The sequence below is a fragment of the Homo sapiens genome, chromosome 12 (assembly GCF_000001405.40).
Source record: "Homo sapiens chromosome 12, GRCh38.p14 Primary Assembly".
NCBI classification, from domain to species: Eukaryota; Metazoa; Chordata; class Mammalia; order Primates; family Hominidae; genus Homo; species Homo sapiens.
In genome coordinates, this window is record NC_000012.12 from 103,869,314 (window position 1) to 103,887,618 (window position 18,305).

General features: G+C 41.8%; 1 pseudogene across 1 annotated transcript in view, besides 2 other annotated features; it reads right to left on the reverse strand.

The window, feature by feature from the left end:
* Positions 1 to 18,305, reverse strand: part of TTC41P (tetratricopeptide repeat domain 41, pseudogene) — an 86,463-nt pseudogene that overhangs the window by 25,565 nt on the left and 42,593 nt on the right. Inside the window, exons 8-10 of the transcript NR_027249.1 lie at positions 14,291 to 14,501; positions 13,219 to 13,397; positions 958 to 1,097 (exon numbers count right to left, since the gene is read on the reverse strand). The product of NR_027249.1 is annotated as a tetratricopeptide repeat domain 41, pseudogene (transcript). The remainder of the gene's footprint in view (positions 1 to 957; positions 1,098 to 13,218; positions 13,398 to 14,290; positions 14,502 to 18,305) is intronic.
* Positions 7,879 to 8,048: an enhancer, noted in NCBI's record as "experimental_23502 CRE fragment used in MPRA reporter constructs". NCBI's record gives its function as "activates a minimal promoter by MPRAs in K562 erythroleukemia cells, with activity observed for both the introgressed and non-introgressed 12:104271055 variant alleles {active_cell/tissue: K562}" and the evidence as "EXISTENCE:reporter gene assay evidence [ECO:0000049][PMID:34662402]".
* Positions 11,342 to 11,591: an enhancer, noted in NCBI's record as "active region_6896". NCBI's record gives its function as "activates an Ori minimal core promoter by ATAC-STARR-seq in GM12878 lymphoblastoid cells {active_cell/tissue: GM12878}" and the evidence as "EXISTENCE:reporter gene assay evidence [ECO:0000049][PMID:35858748]".

Consider the following 18,305-nt stretch of genomic DNA (forward strand, 5'->3'; position numbering starts at 1 on the left):
GGGAGACTGAGGTGGGATGATTGATTGAGCCGGGAAGGTTGAGGCTGCAGTGAGCCATGATCACACCATTGCACTCCAGCCTGGATGACAGAGCAAGACCCTGTCCCCCCAAAAAATAAACTTACATTAAATAAAATAGTAGCTAAATGTCATCATAAGCATATAGTTGTTATGAGTTATGTTATGTTATGAGTTATGTTATGAGTGATGCTTTCATTGTAGTCAACAAAGCCAAAAGTTCATATTTCAGAAAAAGCAAATCAATATAGGGCCAAGACATCAATCAACCTTCCCCAATCTCTCTCTCTCTTTTTTTTTTTTTAGATGGAGTCTTCCTCTGTCACCAGGCTGGAGTGCAGTGGAGCGATCTTGGCTCACTGCAACCTCCGCCTCCCAGGTTCAGGTTCAAGCGATTCTCCTTGCTTCAGCCTCCCAAGTAACTGGGACTACAGGTGCGCGCCACCATGCCCAGCTAATTTTTGTATTTTTAGTAGAGATGGGGTTTCACCATGTTGGCCAGGATGGTCTCAATCTCTTGACCTCATGATCCGCCTGCCTTGGCCCCCCAAAATGCTGGGATTACAAGCGTGAGCCACTGTGCCTGGCCTCCCAACATCTTTATGAAACTTATAACCAAGTCTTTGGCTAGTCTTTTATTAATTCATTTCAATCTACCAGTGTATTCCCATTTTTGCTTCATGAACATTTCTTTTTTTTTTCCGAAGTGTCAACTATCAGTACTCATTCATTCTATAATGATTCCTATCTACTTATTGTTTGTTGTCATTAATGTGCAGTTTGGGCATGGGTTAAAATCATAGCTTCCTCATTGGCGAACAAAATGGATTCCTCTATGGCATTAAATTAATTTTACATGAACAAAGGTAAATAATATCTGAAAATATCTAACACAAAAGGAATAAAGTTTGAAGGATTTAAAATATACTCTCAGTTTACCTGTACTAACATGTCCTCAACACTCAAGAACAACTCTTCTGCTTCATTGGTCTTGCCCATAAACTTCAAAAAACTCCCAATAAAGAACATTAATCGACATTTGTCAAGGACAGTAAGTTCAATAAGCCTGCACTGCAGCACTAGAATGGAAAGAAAAGTAAATAATCCCACAGCATGTTTGGAAAAGAACAAAGAGTACCCATTGCTTAATCTTAATATTGATATAGAAGTTAAATGCATTAGCCATAGTTCAGGTTCTCTCTCAAGGGTTCAGCACTTTGCTTGTATTAAGATTTACATATAATGCCAAACAGTTTATACTATGACATGAAAAATAACTAATAATCTTTGTATGTAAATGTTGAAAACTAGTCAATAAAGAGTATTTATAGCTCAATCCATGCATTGCTCTAATTTGTATTTTGGGGTGATTTTCAGATAAGAAGAAAAAGATATTTAAATTTCTTACACCATTCTGCCCTCTGTTGCAACTATCTTGAACTGCTGGCTTTAACAGAAAGAAAATCCTAAAAGAACAAAATAAGGAGACATACAGTGTGTGTGTGTGTGTGTGTGTGTGTGTGTGTGTGTGTGTGTGTGTGTGTGTGTGTGTGTAGTTATACCTTATACACATATGAAAACAGAATTTTTTAACTTAAAGACCCAATTAAATACATGGTGCTGCAAAGCTTCATTTTTAGAATTTCCTTTTCCATATGTTCCAGTATCTAAATGTCTACATTTGTTCATTTGTTAAAATTATGGCATTTAATATGTTTGACATAAATATATTCTTTGCTCCTCATCTGTTCCTTTGCTCACGTTGAAGTCACCTCAGCCTTGACTGTTCTCCTGCTTTCTTTCTGCCTGTTTTTCCATGGATCACATTCCACAACCCTCAGCTTTGTAGGGAGGCTGGAGCTATGGTGCTTCAAGTCAAAAAGCAAAAACTAAAACACAGACAAGGGAGACAGAATGCTGAGAGCCAGAGTCCAGGACGTTTGTGCAAAGTGGCCGTTCAAGCAATGGGGCCTGGGGTGGGAATGAGAACTTAGAGGAAGAAGCAAGAGACAGGGAGCCTCCGAGTCAGGAGGAGCTGCTTGGAGCAGGCAAACAAGGATGCCTAGACAAACAGTGCAGGGATGGGCTCCTGCCCAGGGTGAGGCTTCTGCACATCCAGGAGGACTTTGCTTCCAGATTCCTGACAAGGGCTCAGGTTGAAATGGATGATGTCCATCACTGCATTTAATACTCAATTCAACAATCTCCTTTGCCTTAAGAAACCCTTATTCATAAACCCTTCCTGTTACCCTACCACATGCTCACATTCACTGACTTAGCACCAATGTAGAGTCTGAGAAGACAAACATAATTTTTCTCATTATAAAACTAATATATGTTTATTATAGAAAACTTAGAAAATATAGAAAACTATAATTAAGAAATTTAAAAACCTATAATTGCATCAAAGGTAATCTTTAAGATATTGCTATATGACTTCTAATCTTTTGTGTGTACCATATAACACAAACACACACACACATATACACCTTTTTAAAATTAAAATTGGGATCATCCTACACCTAATGTAGATGTGCTAGATACTGGATATATATCAAACATAATACAATCAATCATTTCTGCTCTCATGGTACTTAAAATCTATCATAAACATAATGTGAACAATTTTCCATATCCTTAAATATTCTTTGAGAGCATACATACTTAAGACCAGATTTTATTCCATTTACAGATTATCATTAGTCAATTTTTCACTATTATAAGATGCTACCTAATGAGAATTATTCACAGAAATGTATGTAAACACCCGATTATTTCCTTAGAACAATTTTTAGAAATTGAAAATCACAGTAGATTCATATTTTTAAGGCTTTGATACATATTGCCAAATTACTCCCCAGAAAGATTGTCCCAATATAAATTCTTACCTGTATCATGTAAAAGTACCTATTTTCTCACATCTTTACCAATATTATTATTGTTTATAAAAATCCTTGCAAAAAATAATTGCCAGTTTGGTACCTGAAATTATAGCATCCTACTGTTGTTGGGTTTTTGTTTGTTTGTTTGTTTGTTTTTTGGAGATGGAGTCTCACTGTGTTGCCCAGGCTGGAGTGCAGTGGCATGATCTCAGCTCATTGCAACCTCCGCCTCCTGGGTTCAAGCAATTCTCCTGCCTCAACCTCCTGAGTAGCTGGGACTACAGGTGCACACCGCCATGCCCAGCTAATTTTTTGTATTTTAGTAGAGACGGGGTTTCACCACGTTGCCCAGGCTGGTCTCGAACTCCTGAGCTCAGGGAATCCGCCCACCTGGGCCTCCCAAAGTGCTAGGATTACAGACGTGAGCCACTGCGCCTGGCCCCTACTGTTGTTTTAATTTGCATTTATTTGATTACTAGTGAAATAGAATATTTTAACATATTTATTAACAATTTATACTGTTTTTCATCGACTCTAACATGCCTCAATTGCAAGATGCATCCTTACTTCAGAAATGTTTAGTTTGAGAAAGTATGCATCTTAGAACCAATAGAATCTGGTATTTCTTCTTTAGTGAATTCATTTCTTCAGCAATCATTTCCTGAGCACCATGGGCACTTGTCAAGGACCAGGCAGAGTCCTGGGGGGAGTAGACAAAGGAGGAGTCAAAGCAGGCCCAGGCCCTGCCTTTTGGGCTGTCAAAATAATAAGGAAGACAGACCATCTCATAATCATACAAGTAGATACAAAATTAAAACTATGAAAATAATCATGAATGAGACGGTAATATAAACTGGGGAAGGTTTCTCCAGAAAAGTGACACTTCAACTGAGCATTAAAGAAAGAACAGAAAGTTTTGAAGCAAAATGGTGAGGGAGAATGTGGGAAATTCTGGGCAGAGAGAACAGCATGTCCAAAGGCTCTAGGGCAGGAAAAAGTGTGGAGTCTAGAAAATTGAAAGGAGAAGACTGAAGAGTAGAGACAACAAGGGCATTTGATTCAAGGGAAGGATAGAGATATAGAAAGATGCCAGTCAGCACCCACCCCATGCCCAGTGCTGCTCCAGACACAGGAGACATGGCGATAAACCCGAGAGGAAGGGGCCTACTCTCAAGGACCTGACTGCCAGTGGCTGGAAGGCCTACGGGCAGGGAAGCAGGAGCAGATTTTTTTAAAGTAAAGCAGACAATGTCAGGTAGCAGTAAAACTTACACAAAAAATTAAGATACATTAGCATGATCAAGAATGGCTAAACGTAACATTATATTGAGGAAGCCACTGTGAGAAAGTCATGCTTCAGCTCAGATCTGAATAACCAGAAAAAACTGGTGCTACAAATATCAATAATACAAAGAGCATTTTTGGCGGAAGTTAACAGTGGGTGCCAAGGCCCAAAGGGAAATGTACTTGAAGGACAAAAAGAAGGCCAATGTGGCTGGCATCTAGAGGTTAAGAAGAAAAATCATAAAAGGTGATGTTACCCAGGCATGCAGGGGCCAAGTTATATAAGGTATTGTAGGTTAGGCTGAGAAGTTAAATTGTATCATAAGCACAACTGCAGCCCATTGGAGTGGCCTTAATCTGGGAAGTGACATGATTTGGTCTATATTCTTAAAACCTAATTCTGGCTATTGCACAGACAATACACTTCACAGGAACAAAAACTAAAGTAGGAAGACCAGTAAGTAGGCTATTACAATAGGCCAGGTGAGAGATAATAATGGTGGCATGGGCTCACTAGAGTGATGCCAGTGAAAGGGATATCCCTTCTCACCACTTCTATTTAATATCATACTAGGAGTACTACCTAGTACAATAAGACAAGAAAAGGAAATAAAAGGTATACATAGTGAGAAGGAAGAAATAAAACTGTCTTTGTTCACAAATGCTGTAATTGTTTATGTAGAAAATCCCAAAGAATCAACAACTCCTGGAAATAACAAGTAATGTATAGTAGGGTTGCAAGATTCAAGGTTAACACACAAGTCAATTGCTTTCCAATACACCAGCAATAAACATTAGAATTAGAAATTAAAAACACAATGCCATTTGTAATAGCACCGAAAGCAAATAAAATGGGCATAAATCTAACAAATTTAGAATCTATATGCAGAAAACCACAAAACTGTAATGAAAGAAGCCAAAGAAGATCTAAATAAATGAATAAGTATTCCACGGTGATGGACTGGAACACTCAATATTGTTTAGATGACAATTCAGTACTTGACCTATAGATTCAATGCACTTCCAATCAAAATCCCAGCAAGCTATTATGTAAATACTGACAAATTAATTCTAATGTCTATATGAAAAGGCAAAAGACCCCTAATAGCTATGTTAGCTCCCTAGGACTGCTATAAGAAATTACCACAAACAGGTGGCTTAAAATAACAGATTATTCTCTTACAGTTCTGGAGGCTAAGTCCAAAACCAAGGTATTAGCAAGGCCATGCTCTCTCTGAAGGCTTCAGGGAAGAATCCTTCCTTGCCTCTCTCCAGCTTCTGGTGACTCTGTGAAATCCTTGGTGTTCCTCGGCTTGTAGATGCATTATTCCAATCTCCGCCCTTGTCTTAATGTGGTGCTCTCTTCTCTGTGTGCCTATGTTCAAAATTCTCTCTCTTATAAGAACTCTAGTCATTGGATTAGGGACCATCATAACCCAGTATGATTTAATCTTAACTTGATTAGATCTGAAAATACCCTATTTCCAAGTAAGGTTAGATTCCAAATAAGGTTAAATAAGGAGTTTAGGAATTGAACATATCTTTTTTGGAAGACACAATTGTATCCACTACAATAGCCAGCATGGTACTGAAAAAGAACAAAATTAAAACATGACTACTATCCAACTTCAAAACTTACTACATAGCTACATTAATAAAGATAGCATGGTATTAGTGTAAAAAATAGACACATCAACCAATGGAACAGACTAGAGAGCCCAGAAATAAAGCCACACACCTACCACCATCTGATCTTCGACAAAGTTGACAAAAACATGCAATGGGAAAAGGATTCCCTATTCAATAAATGGTGCTGGGATAACTGGCTAGCCATATGCAGAAGATTGAAACTAGACCCCTTCTGTATAACATATATAAAAATCAACTCAAAATAGACTAAAGACTTAAATGTAAAACCTGAAACTATAAAAGCCCTAGAAGATAACCTAGGAAATACCTTTCTGGACATAGGCTCTGGCAAAGATTTCATGATGAAGACACCAAAAGCAATTGTAACAAAAACAAAAATTGACAGTGGGAACTAATTAAACTAAAGATCTCTTGCACAGCAAAAGAAACCATCAACAGAATAAAGAGACAACATATAGAAGAGAAAATATTTGCAAACTATCCATCTGACAAAGGTCCAATATCCAGAATCTATAAGGCACTTAAACAAATTAACAAGCAAAAAACAAACAACCCCAATAAAAAGTGGGCAAAGGACCTGCACAGACACTTTTCAAAAGAAGACATACATGCAGCCAACAAACATATGAATAAATGCTCATCATCAGTAATCACTAGAGAAATGCAAATCAAAACCACAACGAGATATCATCTTACACCAGTCAGAATGGCTATAAAAGTCAAAAAATAACAGATGGTGGCAAGGTTGCAGAGAAAAGGGAAGGCTCATACATTGCTGGTGGGAGTGTATATTAGTTCAGCCATTGTGGAAAGCAGTTTGGCAATTTCTCAAAGAACTTAGAATTACCATTTGACCCAGCAATCCCATTATTGAGTATATCCCAAAGGAATATAAATCATTCTACATAAAGACACATGCACGTGTATGTTCACTGCAGCACTATTCACAATAGCAAAGACATGAAATCAACCTAAATGCCCATCAGTGGTAGGTTAGATAAAGAAAATATGGGTCTGGATACAGTAGCTCATCCCTGTAATCCCAGCACTTTGGGAGGCTGATGCAGGTGGGTCACTTGAGGTCAGGAATTCGAGACCACCCTGGCCAACATGGCAAAACCCCAACTCTACTAAAAATACAAAAATTAGCCGAGTGTGGTGGTGCACACCTATAGTCCCAGCTACTCAGGAGGCTGAGGCATGAGAATCACTTGAACCCAGGAGGGAGAGGTTCCAGTGAGCCAAGATCACGCCACTGCACTCCAGCCTGGGCAACAGAGCAAGATGCTGTCTCAAAAAGAAAAAGAAAATATGGTATATTCACAATTTGGAATATAATGCAGCCATAAAAAAAGAATAAGATCGTGTCCTTTGCAGGAACAGGGAGGGAACTGGAGTTCATTATGCTAAGCAAACTAATGCAGGAACGGAAAACCAAATACTGCATGTTCTCACTTATAAGTGGGAGCTAAACATTGAGTACACATGAACACAACAAATGCACACACAACGAACAACAGACACTGGGGCCTACCTGAAGCTGGAGTGTAGGAGGAGGGTGAAGATCAAAAAACTACCTATTAAGTACTATGCTTATTACCTAGGGGATGAAATAATCTGTACACCAAACCCCCATGATATGCAATTTACCTATATAGTGAACTGCGCATGTACCTCTGAACTTAAAATAAAGTTTATTTAAAAATGGTAAAAAGATTTGAACAGACAATTCACCAAAGAAGATGTACAGGTAGCAAGTAAGTATACATAAAGATGCTCAACATCATTTGTTACTAGGCAATTGCATATTAAACCAGTAATGAGATACCACTATACACCTATTAGAATGGCCCAAATCCAAAAAACTGACAAAACCAAATGCTGGTGAGGATGCAGAGCAACAGGAACTCCCATTCATTGCTGGAGAAAATGTAAAATTTTGCAGCCATTGTGAAAGACAATTTGACAGTTTCTTACAAAACAAAGTATGTTCTTACCATACGATCCAGCAAGTGTACTCCCAGATATTTACGCAATTGATTTGAAAACTTGTGGCCACACAAAAACTTGGATGTAAATGTTTATAGCAGGTTTATTCATAATCACCAATAACTGAAATTATCCAAAATGTCCTTCAACAAGTGAATGAATAAACAAACTGTGGTAAATCCATACAATGGAATATTATTCAACAATAAAAATGAATGAAGTCTAAACCATGAAAAGACACAGAGGAACCTAAATGCATATTAGTAATCTTCCCAACTGTATATGGCTGCCCTGATGATAGCTTAGAGAAGGACAGTGGTGGCAGAGATGGAGAAGTGAACAACTTTGAAAAACAGGAAGTAAAGAACGTCAGGGCTCATTGATGAAATAGACTTGGAGATGAGGTAAAGGAGAGGAAGGTGACTAGGATGACTCCAAGGTGGGAATTTCAGAGACAGTTCCTGGGAAAGAACCTGCTTTTGGAAGGATGTTCACAAGTTCAGTTTTAGGTATCTTAGGTCTAAGATGTTTTGGAGACCATATCCAAGTGCAGACTTACGTAGGCAGTTGGATACATAGGCATCATGTCTCTGAGTACCTCCATCGCTTGCTTGCACATGCCATATCTGCTCCTAGTCTGTCTCTTCTTGTCTTTGACAGAGTCCAGAACTGCAACTTCAGCTAGAATTGGATTTTCTTCACCTTGATGTGGCCCAGGGCTCCCACCAAAAACAAGAGTATTATGCCACAGGAAATCTATAAAAACTGACCCAAGCCTAGAAGCTGTCCTCTAGGCTCAAAGCCCTCCCTACCGGTCATCAATCAGAGATGCAACTTCCCTAGATGAGTGCCGCAAGGAAGGACAAACCTAGGCACCAAGTAGACTGGGCAAGAAGCACCCAAGGAGATACAAATTCAAGACTCCAAACTGCACATCATTTCCCATCAACCTGTTAGGTTTGTCATTCTCAAACCACCAGAGGGAGCCAAACTTCACGGTCCAGAGGGAAAAACTAGGAGAGAGGTGTGCACTCCATCCCCCAGCAGCAGCAACGAGGAGCGAGGAGCAAGAGAGACATCAGACACTCTTCCAGTCCCCCAGCCAACTAATGAAACTGAGGCACCCTTAGAAAACTCTGGGATTTTAAAGAACTTTCCAGAAGTAGGCAGCAGTCAAAAGTATAAGTAGCCTATTTATCTCTCAAAGCAGCAGGGGATAATGAAGAATGAGACCCTAAAAGGGGATCCTCAGTCATTTCCTGCATGGGGAGAGAAGCTAGGCAAGGAATTGGAGCTCTCTTTCTACTTTGAAGCATGCCTGCCTGGAAAGTTCTTCTCCACCCAATAGTGGGATCTGGCCCTCCCCTCCTCAAGCCTCTTCTTCCCACTGGTGGGTTTGGGGGAAAGGAGTTTTTGTCCTACATCCCCTTCCCCATCTGTCTGGCATCAGTGGTGATGCCTGACTCTACCTGATGCTCCAGACCCTAAACTCCTGCCCCCACCTGGGCCCCAAAGTCCCAGCTGGGTTTGCACTTCCTGAGGCTGCTTGCTGTCCCCTCTCTGATCCACAGTCTTCAAATGTAGAACACAATGGATTCTCCTTTATTTTCCCCAAACCATTTGTTTGTAACAGACTTTTACTAAAAATGTCAAGTATCAGAGTAGGGCTTCAACACAGCATAGAGAAGATGGTAACTCAAAATGGAATCTGAAGATATTTAATTAAATTAATTCAGTTGACATCCATCCTCCCTTGGGGGAATTTCGAACTGTCAGTCCCAGTTTTCCTCCTGACCCTCTAACTCCTCCTTCTTCCCCTTGCTGCTTCCTTCTCCCCTGCTTACCCCTTGGAATTTTGTCCCAGGCCCACCTCTCTTCTCCCCTTCCCTGACAATCTCCTTCCCTCTCCTGGCTTCCATCCAGAAACAGGTATGCATCTCTGGCCTGGCTCTTTTTCTGAGCCCAGTGATTACCCCCTCCTGGCTTTCTACAGTGACTCCAAACTCCACATGGGTTCTGTCCCCCAACCCCCTCCTTTGGGAGTGTGTCCTGTTTGGGTCCATGGCCGTGTCATCTACCCAGTCATTCACGTCAGAGCCGTGGGAGTCATCTCTGACTCCTCCATTTCTTTGCACCCAATTGATGATTGCGTCCTGTGGATTCTATTTTCAAACCTTCCACCCCACCTTCTAAGCCAACATTGTCTGCCATCTGGGTTATTACTACTAGAAGCTCTTCGTGACACCACACTTGTCCCTTTTCGTTTCATTCTTTACATAATACCCAAGGTGACCTTTTAAAACCAAACCTGTTACCATCTTGCTTAAATCCCCTCATAGCCGCCCACGGCTGTTTGGATAAGGGCTGACTCCTTAGCATGACCTTGGTACTTGGGCTCCTGCCTGCCTCTGCAGCCTCAGGGCTCCCTTCACTGTCCACCTTCTCTTGTAGCCATGCTGGACTCTTCAGTTCTTCAGACTCACTACGCTCCCTCTCAACTCTGGATCTTCAACCCTGCTGTTCCCTCTCCCTGGAATTCTTTCCCCTTGTCACTCTGTCAGATTGAAGACAAGGAGCCACCTCCCTGCTCTATGTTCTATGCCACCACCACTTTGAACGTCTTTTCTCGGGCCAAATTGCTTTTTAATGTCTGTCATTTACACCTGACCATAAGCTGCCTTAAGGCAGGAACCGTGTCTGTCTTATTGCTGTATCCTTGGCATCTAGCACCACGCATGGCACAAGCAGGCCCTCAGTTAGTAGTGTCAAATTAGTTTGGAGGAATGTCAGCATTTGCCCAGACCTCTTTATTACAAAAGGAGGGCAGGGTTGAACTGGCAGGCAGCTCCCAGGATGGCACACGATAAAACAGGATTTCTCCCAGAATTCTTTGAAAAAAAAAAATAGTCCAGTTAAGGGTCTTACCTCCAGCAGCACCCCAGGAGGGCGAATTGATTCAGGGCTGTGTGTGGCTACATAATCATGATAAGAAAACATGTTTGGGGAGGCCCAGACAGCTAACCAGACCACTGTAATACCTCCTATGGCTATGATATGAGATTCCTGCTGTAATTAAACCTTGTTCTGATGAATCTAACAAATTTTTCTCTTACTTTGGTGATAAGTACTTAAGCTTGTGACTTCTACTTTTAGCAACTCACAGAGAAAAGTAGGCCCACACAGTCCTGGAAGGACTTTGGGGAAAACTCCCCCAAATGGCCATGGGCTGACTCTCCCAGCCAGGGTGGGAGGTAAGGTAAGACAGTGAACAGCTACAATAAGTAGAGTGGCTAGATCATAGCCTTGCTTTATGAAACTGGTCCAGACAGACAAAAGGAAGCCCTGGCGGAGATGAGAGAATGGATGCCAGAGGCTTCATGGAAGTAAATTTTACAGGACTTGGGCATGATTTAATCTGATGTATGTGAGAGGCAATTATGGAGGCCAGGACTACTTGCTGAGAGGCCCCTGGGGGTCCAGAATAATACAGATACTAACCAGCAGGATCTTAGATGTTGATACAGGTGACATCATGTTTACAGAATCACCAGGAGAGCTCTACGATGTTCCCCACCTAATTCTAACTCGGCTCATTTACATCCAGGAAATCTTCACACGCTGAAATATTAGGTGATTTCCTACCAGTTTCAACTCTCATCCCCTCGCCCCTTACATCACCATAACAACCATGCTATGAAAAGCAGTTGTGGCATTGTCTGGAAGGACTTTTACCCCCTGTTGGAGGTTTAGTCTTCCTCTGGTTAGTGTTCAGCTTCCTGTGAAAAACAGAAACGTCCCCTCCTGCCCCCTTCCCTCCACTCCCCTGCCCCGCATCCCTAAGCACTGACACACTTCCAGATAGATCCATGTCCAGACAGATCCTGGCTGCATTCCACACACAAGTATCTTTATGAGGAGTGCCTGGGTTCTTCCACCTGGATGATTGCTGGGTCAGACAAATTCTGAAATTAAGTCATACGTGACAATAAGGATCAAGGCAAAGTCTAGATGTTCAAGGATCAAAAGGGGTACAAATGTGGTAAAGCCCAAATCTATTCCTAACTATCTGGCAGACCTCAAGCAACTTACCTGTCTGAGACTCAGTTTCCTTAAATTCAATCAAGATATTACTAGTATTATAGCAATTTTATGAGAATTAAACAAAGTGACACATATAAAGTACTTAACTCAAAGCCAGGCATATAACAAATGCTCAAAATCTGTTATGATCACTGAACTGTAAAGCCCAGAAGGATTTCATTTCCTTGTTCATTGCTGTGTCAGTGAGTCCATGAGTTCACGGTCCAGGGAAGGTGCTGAGTTAATACTCGTTGAAAGAATGAATGAAGGTTATTATTCTGTTTAATAAGCCAGGAAATGCAGGATGAAAGAGAGTGAGAGGAGAGAGGGCAGGCAAAGGGGCTTGCTTATGGAGAACAAAGGGAAGAAATATTAACCAAAGTGCTGTCCAAACCCAAGCCACAGAAGCAGAAGGTCAAAGAATAGCTGCCTTCATTTTGATTGAGGCCACCTTGAAATAGTGTTTTCAATACTGAGTGATGGAAAAAGTTGCTGCTACCATCAGCAGGCAGAGGGATCACGGGAAAAACAATTTGGGAGAGAAAATCCTGAAATAATGTAGGTTTTCACCTATTTAATTTGAAATGTTAACTGCTCACTCAGGAAAGTTGTTAATCAAGCAATAATACTCTTACTAGCTCTCATAAAAGAGGGGATGTAGCTGGTACTCCAAAAAGAGGTTCAAGCTGGAAAGACAGAAGGTATTAAGGCTGTGGTTGAAGCCACGAAAAAGTGGAGAGACAGAAAGAATGTTAAGGACAAACCCCTAAAAAAGAGTCATTGTGGCCGGGCGCACTGGCTCACGGCTGTAATCCCAGCACTTTGGAAGGCTGAGGCAGGTGGATCATGAGGTCAAGAGATCGAGACCATCCTGGCCAATACGGTGAAACCCCACCTCTACTAAAAATACAAAAATTAGCTGGGTGTGGTGGCACTTGCCTGTAGTCCCAGCTACTCGGGAGGCTGAGGCAGGAGAATCACTTGAACCCAGGAGGCGGAGGTTGCAGTGAGCCGAGATCTCACCGCTGCACTCCAGCCTGATGACAGAGCAAGACACCGTCTCAAAAAAAAAATAAAATAAAAAATAGAAAATAGAAAAAAAGAGTCACTGCAAGAAGATAAAGAGAAGCCATTTCAAAATTAACACTTTTTCCTGATTTCTTGTCTTCAAAACTTGTTGGCTTCAATTGTAGAAAGGAGTAATCAGGGAGGTCTGTTGGATTGATCAGAATTATGTGAGGAAACAGGAGAATCATAACTTTGGCCACTCTATATCCCAGCAAAATGGACTACTGAAACATTGCAACTCACATACCTGAGAGTGTACCGCTCTTCCTCATTGTATGGCACTGATCTGCTTTAATCTTGGCCACTGAAAGTAAATAGGCCTCAGAGACATCATAGCCGGCCTCCAATAATACATTCCAGAAGTGAATGAGGTGCAGCCTTGTCCAGAAGCCCAGGCTTTGGATTTTTGATATAAAGTCTGTGATACTTGTGACACAATGTATTAATAGATATCATTTTAGTATTTCAGGCCTTAAAGGAAGCTCTTCTACTTACCACATTTCAGTAGCCTATTCATAAACATCTTACCTAACATATCTTTTGGAGATCACCAGATAAATATGAGCCTTTCACTCTTCAGCAGTCAAAGCCAATTCTCCTGATCCACCCAGGAAGCCCCCTCCTCTGAGAAGGCTCCCTGGGTCTACCAGGCAGAGCACCAGCCCCTCCCTCTTCTGTGCTTGCAAAAGTTCATTGCAACATTGCTCTAGCGAGGCATTATCACCACGTACAGTAATTCTCTGGCTCCACATCTTCCCCCACTAGATGGAAAGCACCTACAGGCTTAGAGCTGTATCTATTCACTTCTGCACCCTCAGGGCCTAGCAGGTTGTGGGAGACAGGATGGGTCATAAATAGATGTTTGCTGAATTAATGAGTCAGAGGAAAAGAAGAAAGAGACAAGGAAGGGAAGGGAGGTGGGTGGGAGGGAGTAAGAGGGAAGGGGAAGTAGCATAGGGAAAAGAAGGGAATGGAAGGGAAGCAGATAGGAGGGTCTAGCAGAGCTTGCCCAATCTTCTACCTTTTCCAGCTCTCATCCTTGCCCTCCTCTCTCTGGAATGCCACTTAACTTTGAGAGGACTCCACATAGAGTGAAGAGGAGAAATGAACACTCTGCAGGGCCAGACAGACCAAGGGGAGTAACCCTGGAGATCCAGCAACTACAGAAGTTGATGCCAGAGGATGGTTCCATCTGAATGAATGATGAGTGCTTGAATGGATAAATGAATGACACAACTTGTTCAAGGGAACATGGGTATCTAAACATAGCACTGGTAAAAGGGAAAGCTAAATCTGCCTAAATACAATGATATAAAAACGGCAAGACTCATGTAGGGCTTGAGAGAAAGCCGCACAACCCCCGCAAGCATCCACTCATTTTCATATGCCATGGCAATTCTTGATACACTCTCCAGAAAGAGGTTTGCCGCTGGAAGTATCTGATCAACACTTGGTGAAAATGTGTTTTCTTGTGGTTCATTGGGGTCTGAAATGAACATGGACTGCTTTCTCAGACAGGAGTGATTACACCTATTTTAAAATCAATTATAGTTTAATGCCTCTGACTTTTTAGTACTTGAAAATACTGCAGCAAAAATATGACAACTCTGTGGCTGTAATTAGAGAAATAAAAGTCAGTGTAACTGGAAAAAAATTGTGTCTTACACATCAGTCTGAATTTACCAAAGAATTTATTCCAGTTACGCTCGCTGACCTAGAATTGGAGAAGTTTGTGGACATGTTGATTTTCCATGTTAAGTCTTTCCCCTCCCCCAAGGAAACATTTGTAACCTACTTTTCTATTTTAAATATACACTATGGTTACTGCTTAAATAAGCACTTTTGAACATTTCATAGTGTGTATTTTGGAGAAGTTAAGCCATTGCCTGGATCTCATATGAGCCAAGGGGTAGCTGGCAAACAAATGGCAAATTTAATATTGGAGCCAGGACTACTATATCTTCATTTCCAAAGAGATATGGTTCTAGTAGATCATACTACCCAGACATAAGCTTCTCAAAAACAAAAGGGTTTGTTTAACTAAATCCTGGTGATTTCTGTCCTTGAAAACTAAAATAGAAGTATTTTTTAACTTTTCTGCTTGTCACTTTTTCTTGCAAGATAATGGAACACACAGCTAGGTGGCACACCAAGCCCAGCTCTTCGTAAGAACTCTAACAAAAGGGGAACTCATTGTTTAAACAACTGTTCTTCATTTCCACTTACATGATTTCCAGGTCACCCACCCATATGGAGAGACCCCATGCTATCTCGTCTAAAGCGTGCAGATGTGTCCAGATGGCAAGTGCAGTCCCTAACAGGCCCCTGCAGGAAAAAAACTCCCCTCCTCCACTGTGTATGGCAAAACTATGTGTGTGGTTATAAATCGGGAAAGTGGGGTGGGAATGAGGGAGAAAAAGAACTGGCATAAATAGTACCTGGGTTCAAGATCTGGAGAGTTAAACACTATACGTAAAGTATGCAAAACATTTTCATAGAAAATGCAGCATTTAATTTAAAATAACCTCATGAGGAGGATATAGATATGCATCACCATTTGACAAAATCAGAGAGACAGGTGACTTACCCCTGGTCAGTACATGACCAGTAAATACAGAAGTAGCATTCCAACCTTCTGGTTTAATGCCACTGCTCCTCCAACTACACATATGATGTGAGGAATGGTTTGACCCCAGCATCATCTTTATACACATTGCCGCACTCAATGATAGACTAAATGGCCAATGTTTATGTAGTGCTAGATTGGTGGGCTAGATTATGCTGTACTGAAAGACAACCCCCAAATCTCAGTAGCTTAAAAAAGCAAAGGTTTATTATGTCCATCACAGGTTGGAGACTGGGAACTCCAATCCAGGTCTCCTTCCTGTGGGACTGACAGAGTAGCCGCCATCTTGAATGTTGCCAGTGGCCACTTAGTCACAAGGCCCCACCCAACAAGGGGGCCAGGAAGTGTTTTCCATGGTGGGAGGGGGAGGGTGGGCTAGAAATTTTGGCATTTGGCTCAAATGGCCACCACTAGTGCTTATTGTAGTGCCAGATGCTATACCTTACACGAATTAGCATTTTATTACCCTCAAGGCAAATACTGTTATCCCTACATTGCAGGTGAAAAACTGAGTCTTAGGGAGGTAAGTAAGCACCTCGCGTCAGGTCACACCAGTTCTATACAAACCCAAAGCCATTGCTCTCCACGAGAAATCATTTCTAGTAAGATGCCATGGTGATTTCCAGAAGGAGGGAAGATGGTTCTGTTTGCCAAACAGCATGCAGACCTGAGCATGAGATGAGGACAGGGACAGGGAGCAATGAGGCTGTTCATGTTCCAAAGACCATGGTGCTGTGTACAGGTGGCTCACACCTTCTCTCTTGTGCTCAGCCCTCCAGCTCCTGATTCCAGGCAGATACTGGAGGCTGAGGTTTAGTACTGACCCTCAAAACAATAGAGATGGAAGCTGCTAGAAACAGCAGATCCAAAAAACCAGCAGCCAAGCATACCTGCACATTCATTCAGCAAACATCTATTCAATGAAACTAGAATGGGTCTCAGGGAATTCAGACTTACTTGAGGGTGCCTGATGAAACAGAATAATCTTTAGGCCCACAGAAGTCAAGATCACCAGTTGATTTGCATGGGCCATCTGGGAAAAGTGGTGGGTAGGAGGCCATAGAGAAGATTCATGAGGAAAACGAAGAAGGAGTTAATAGTGGCTGACATTTCTTGAGACTTTACTATGCGCCAGGCACTATGCTAAGTGCTTTACAGAACTTACATTACTGAATGCTCACAAGTAAGAACTGTATGAAGGTGGTACTTTATTTTATTAATGAGGCATCTGGGACACAAAGTGGTAAAATAATGTGGCCAAGGTCATTAACTAGCAAGTGGGAAATCCAGGGCTCATCCTGAGTCCGGCATTGGGATCCCAGTTTTAACCACTATGCTATATAAACTCCTTCTACTCAACAGAGGTGGAAAAAATGGGCTCCATAGACTGGGGTTTTTTGGGAACTCTTACAGGGTGCAGCATTACAAGAAGAAATGAAAGAGGCTCTTTCCAGGAAGGGCTCCCTGAGAGCCTGAGAAGGGTGGGGTTTGCCGGAGAAGGGCATGCAGTGTGCTCAGATCTCCCAGGAGATGCCCGCCCCTACTTCTGATGGAAACCAGCACTAACCCAGCACCACCCCAGCACCTCAAGATCTGGCTGCTTTAAGACCAAAGGAGAGGGAGGGACCCCTAGCATGAAGTCTGGTTTTCTCATAGTGAAAAACACAAGCAGGGACAGTCGTGAGGCACCTACATTGCTAAGCAGAAACCAGAAGAGACTCTCTGGTGACTACAGCCAACAAACAGATGAGTGAGCACAGGTGACACTGCCATGGACTCAGGAACATCTGAGGCAGGTGAGGACTTTCCAGGGTGCTGGTGGGAAATGACCTAGCCTAGTCTGAGAATGTTCTGGTTGCATGAGAAATAAGTAAAATAATATATAAGTGCCTGGCACAGTGAAAGCACTGAAAAAAAAAATGTGGCTGTCTTTAATTTAATTATTGGTGATTACACTATCTTTCTCCTAAGCTTTTGTACTGAACTATGTCCAGAATCAAGTTCAGGTAGATCCTGAACAATGTTAGGAAAACATGACTGGTATTTATCACATTTATTTAAACATTTGCAGCCGGGCGAGGTGGCTCATGCCTGTAATCCTAACACTTTGGGAGGCCAAGGCAGGTGGATTACCTGAGGTCAGGAGTTCGAGACCAGCCTGACCAACATGGAGAAACTCCATCTCTACTAAAAATACAAAATTAGCCAGGAGTGGTGGTACATGCCTGTAATCCCAGCTACTCAGGAGGCTAAGGCAGGAGAATCACTTGAACCCAGGAGGCGGAGGTTGCGGTGAGCCGAGATCGCGCCATTGCACTCCAGCCTGGGTGACAAAAGTGAAACTCTGTCTCAAAAAAAAAAAAAAGAAAAGATTTGCATCTGAACACTTCAAAGCTGGCAATGTGGATTGGTTTGACAAATAACCACTGCTTGATCCTTACAATTAAATTTTGTAACTAAAAACAAATGTGGCTATCATGATCAGTATTAACAAGACGTAATGGCCTATAGGCAACAGAGGAGCATTTCTCAGCTTTACAGCTCTCCTTTGCCCTATTCCTTTGAAGCCACACTAATATGCATGCATATGTGTATGCACACACATGTGTGCAACATACAAAGTATATAAGACCAAACGATCCTCAGTTTTAGTAACAGAAGAGAAAAGAGGTTGCTCCATCACAGCCTAGAGGTCAAAGGGTCTCTCT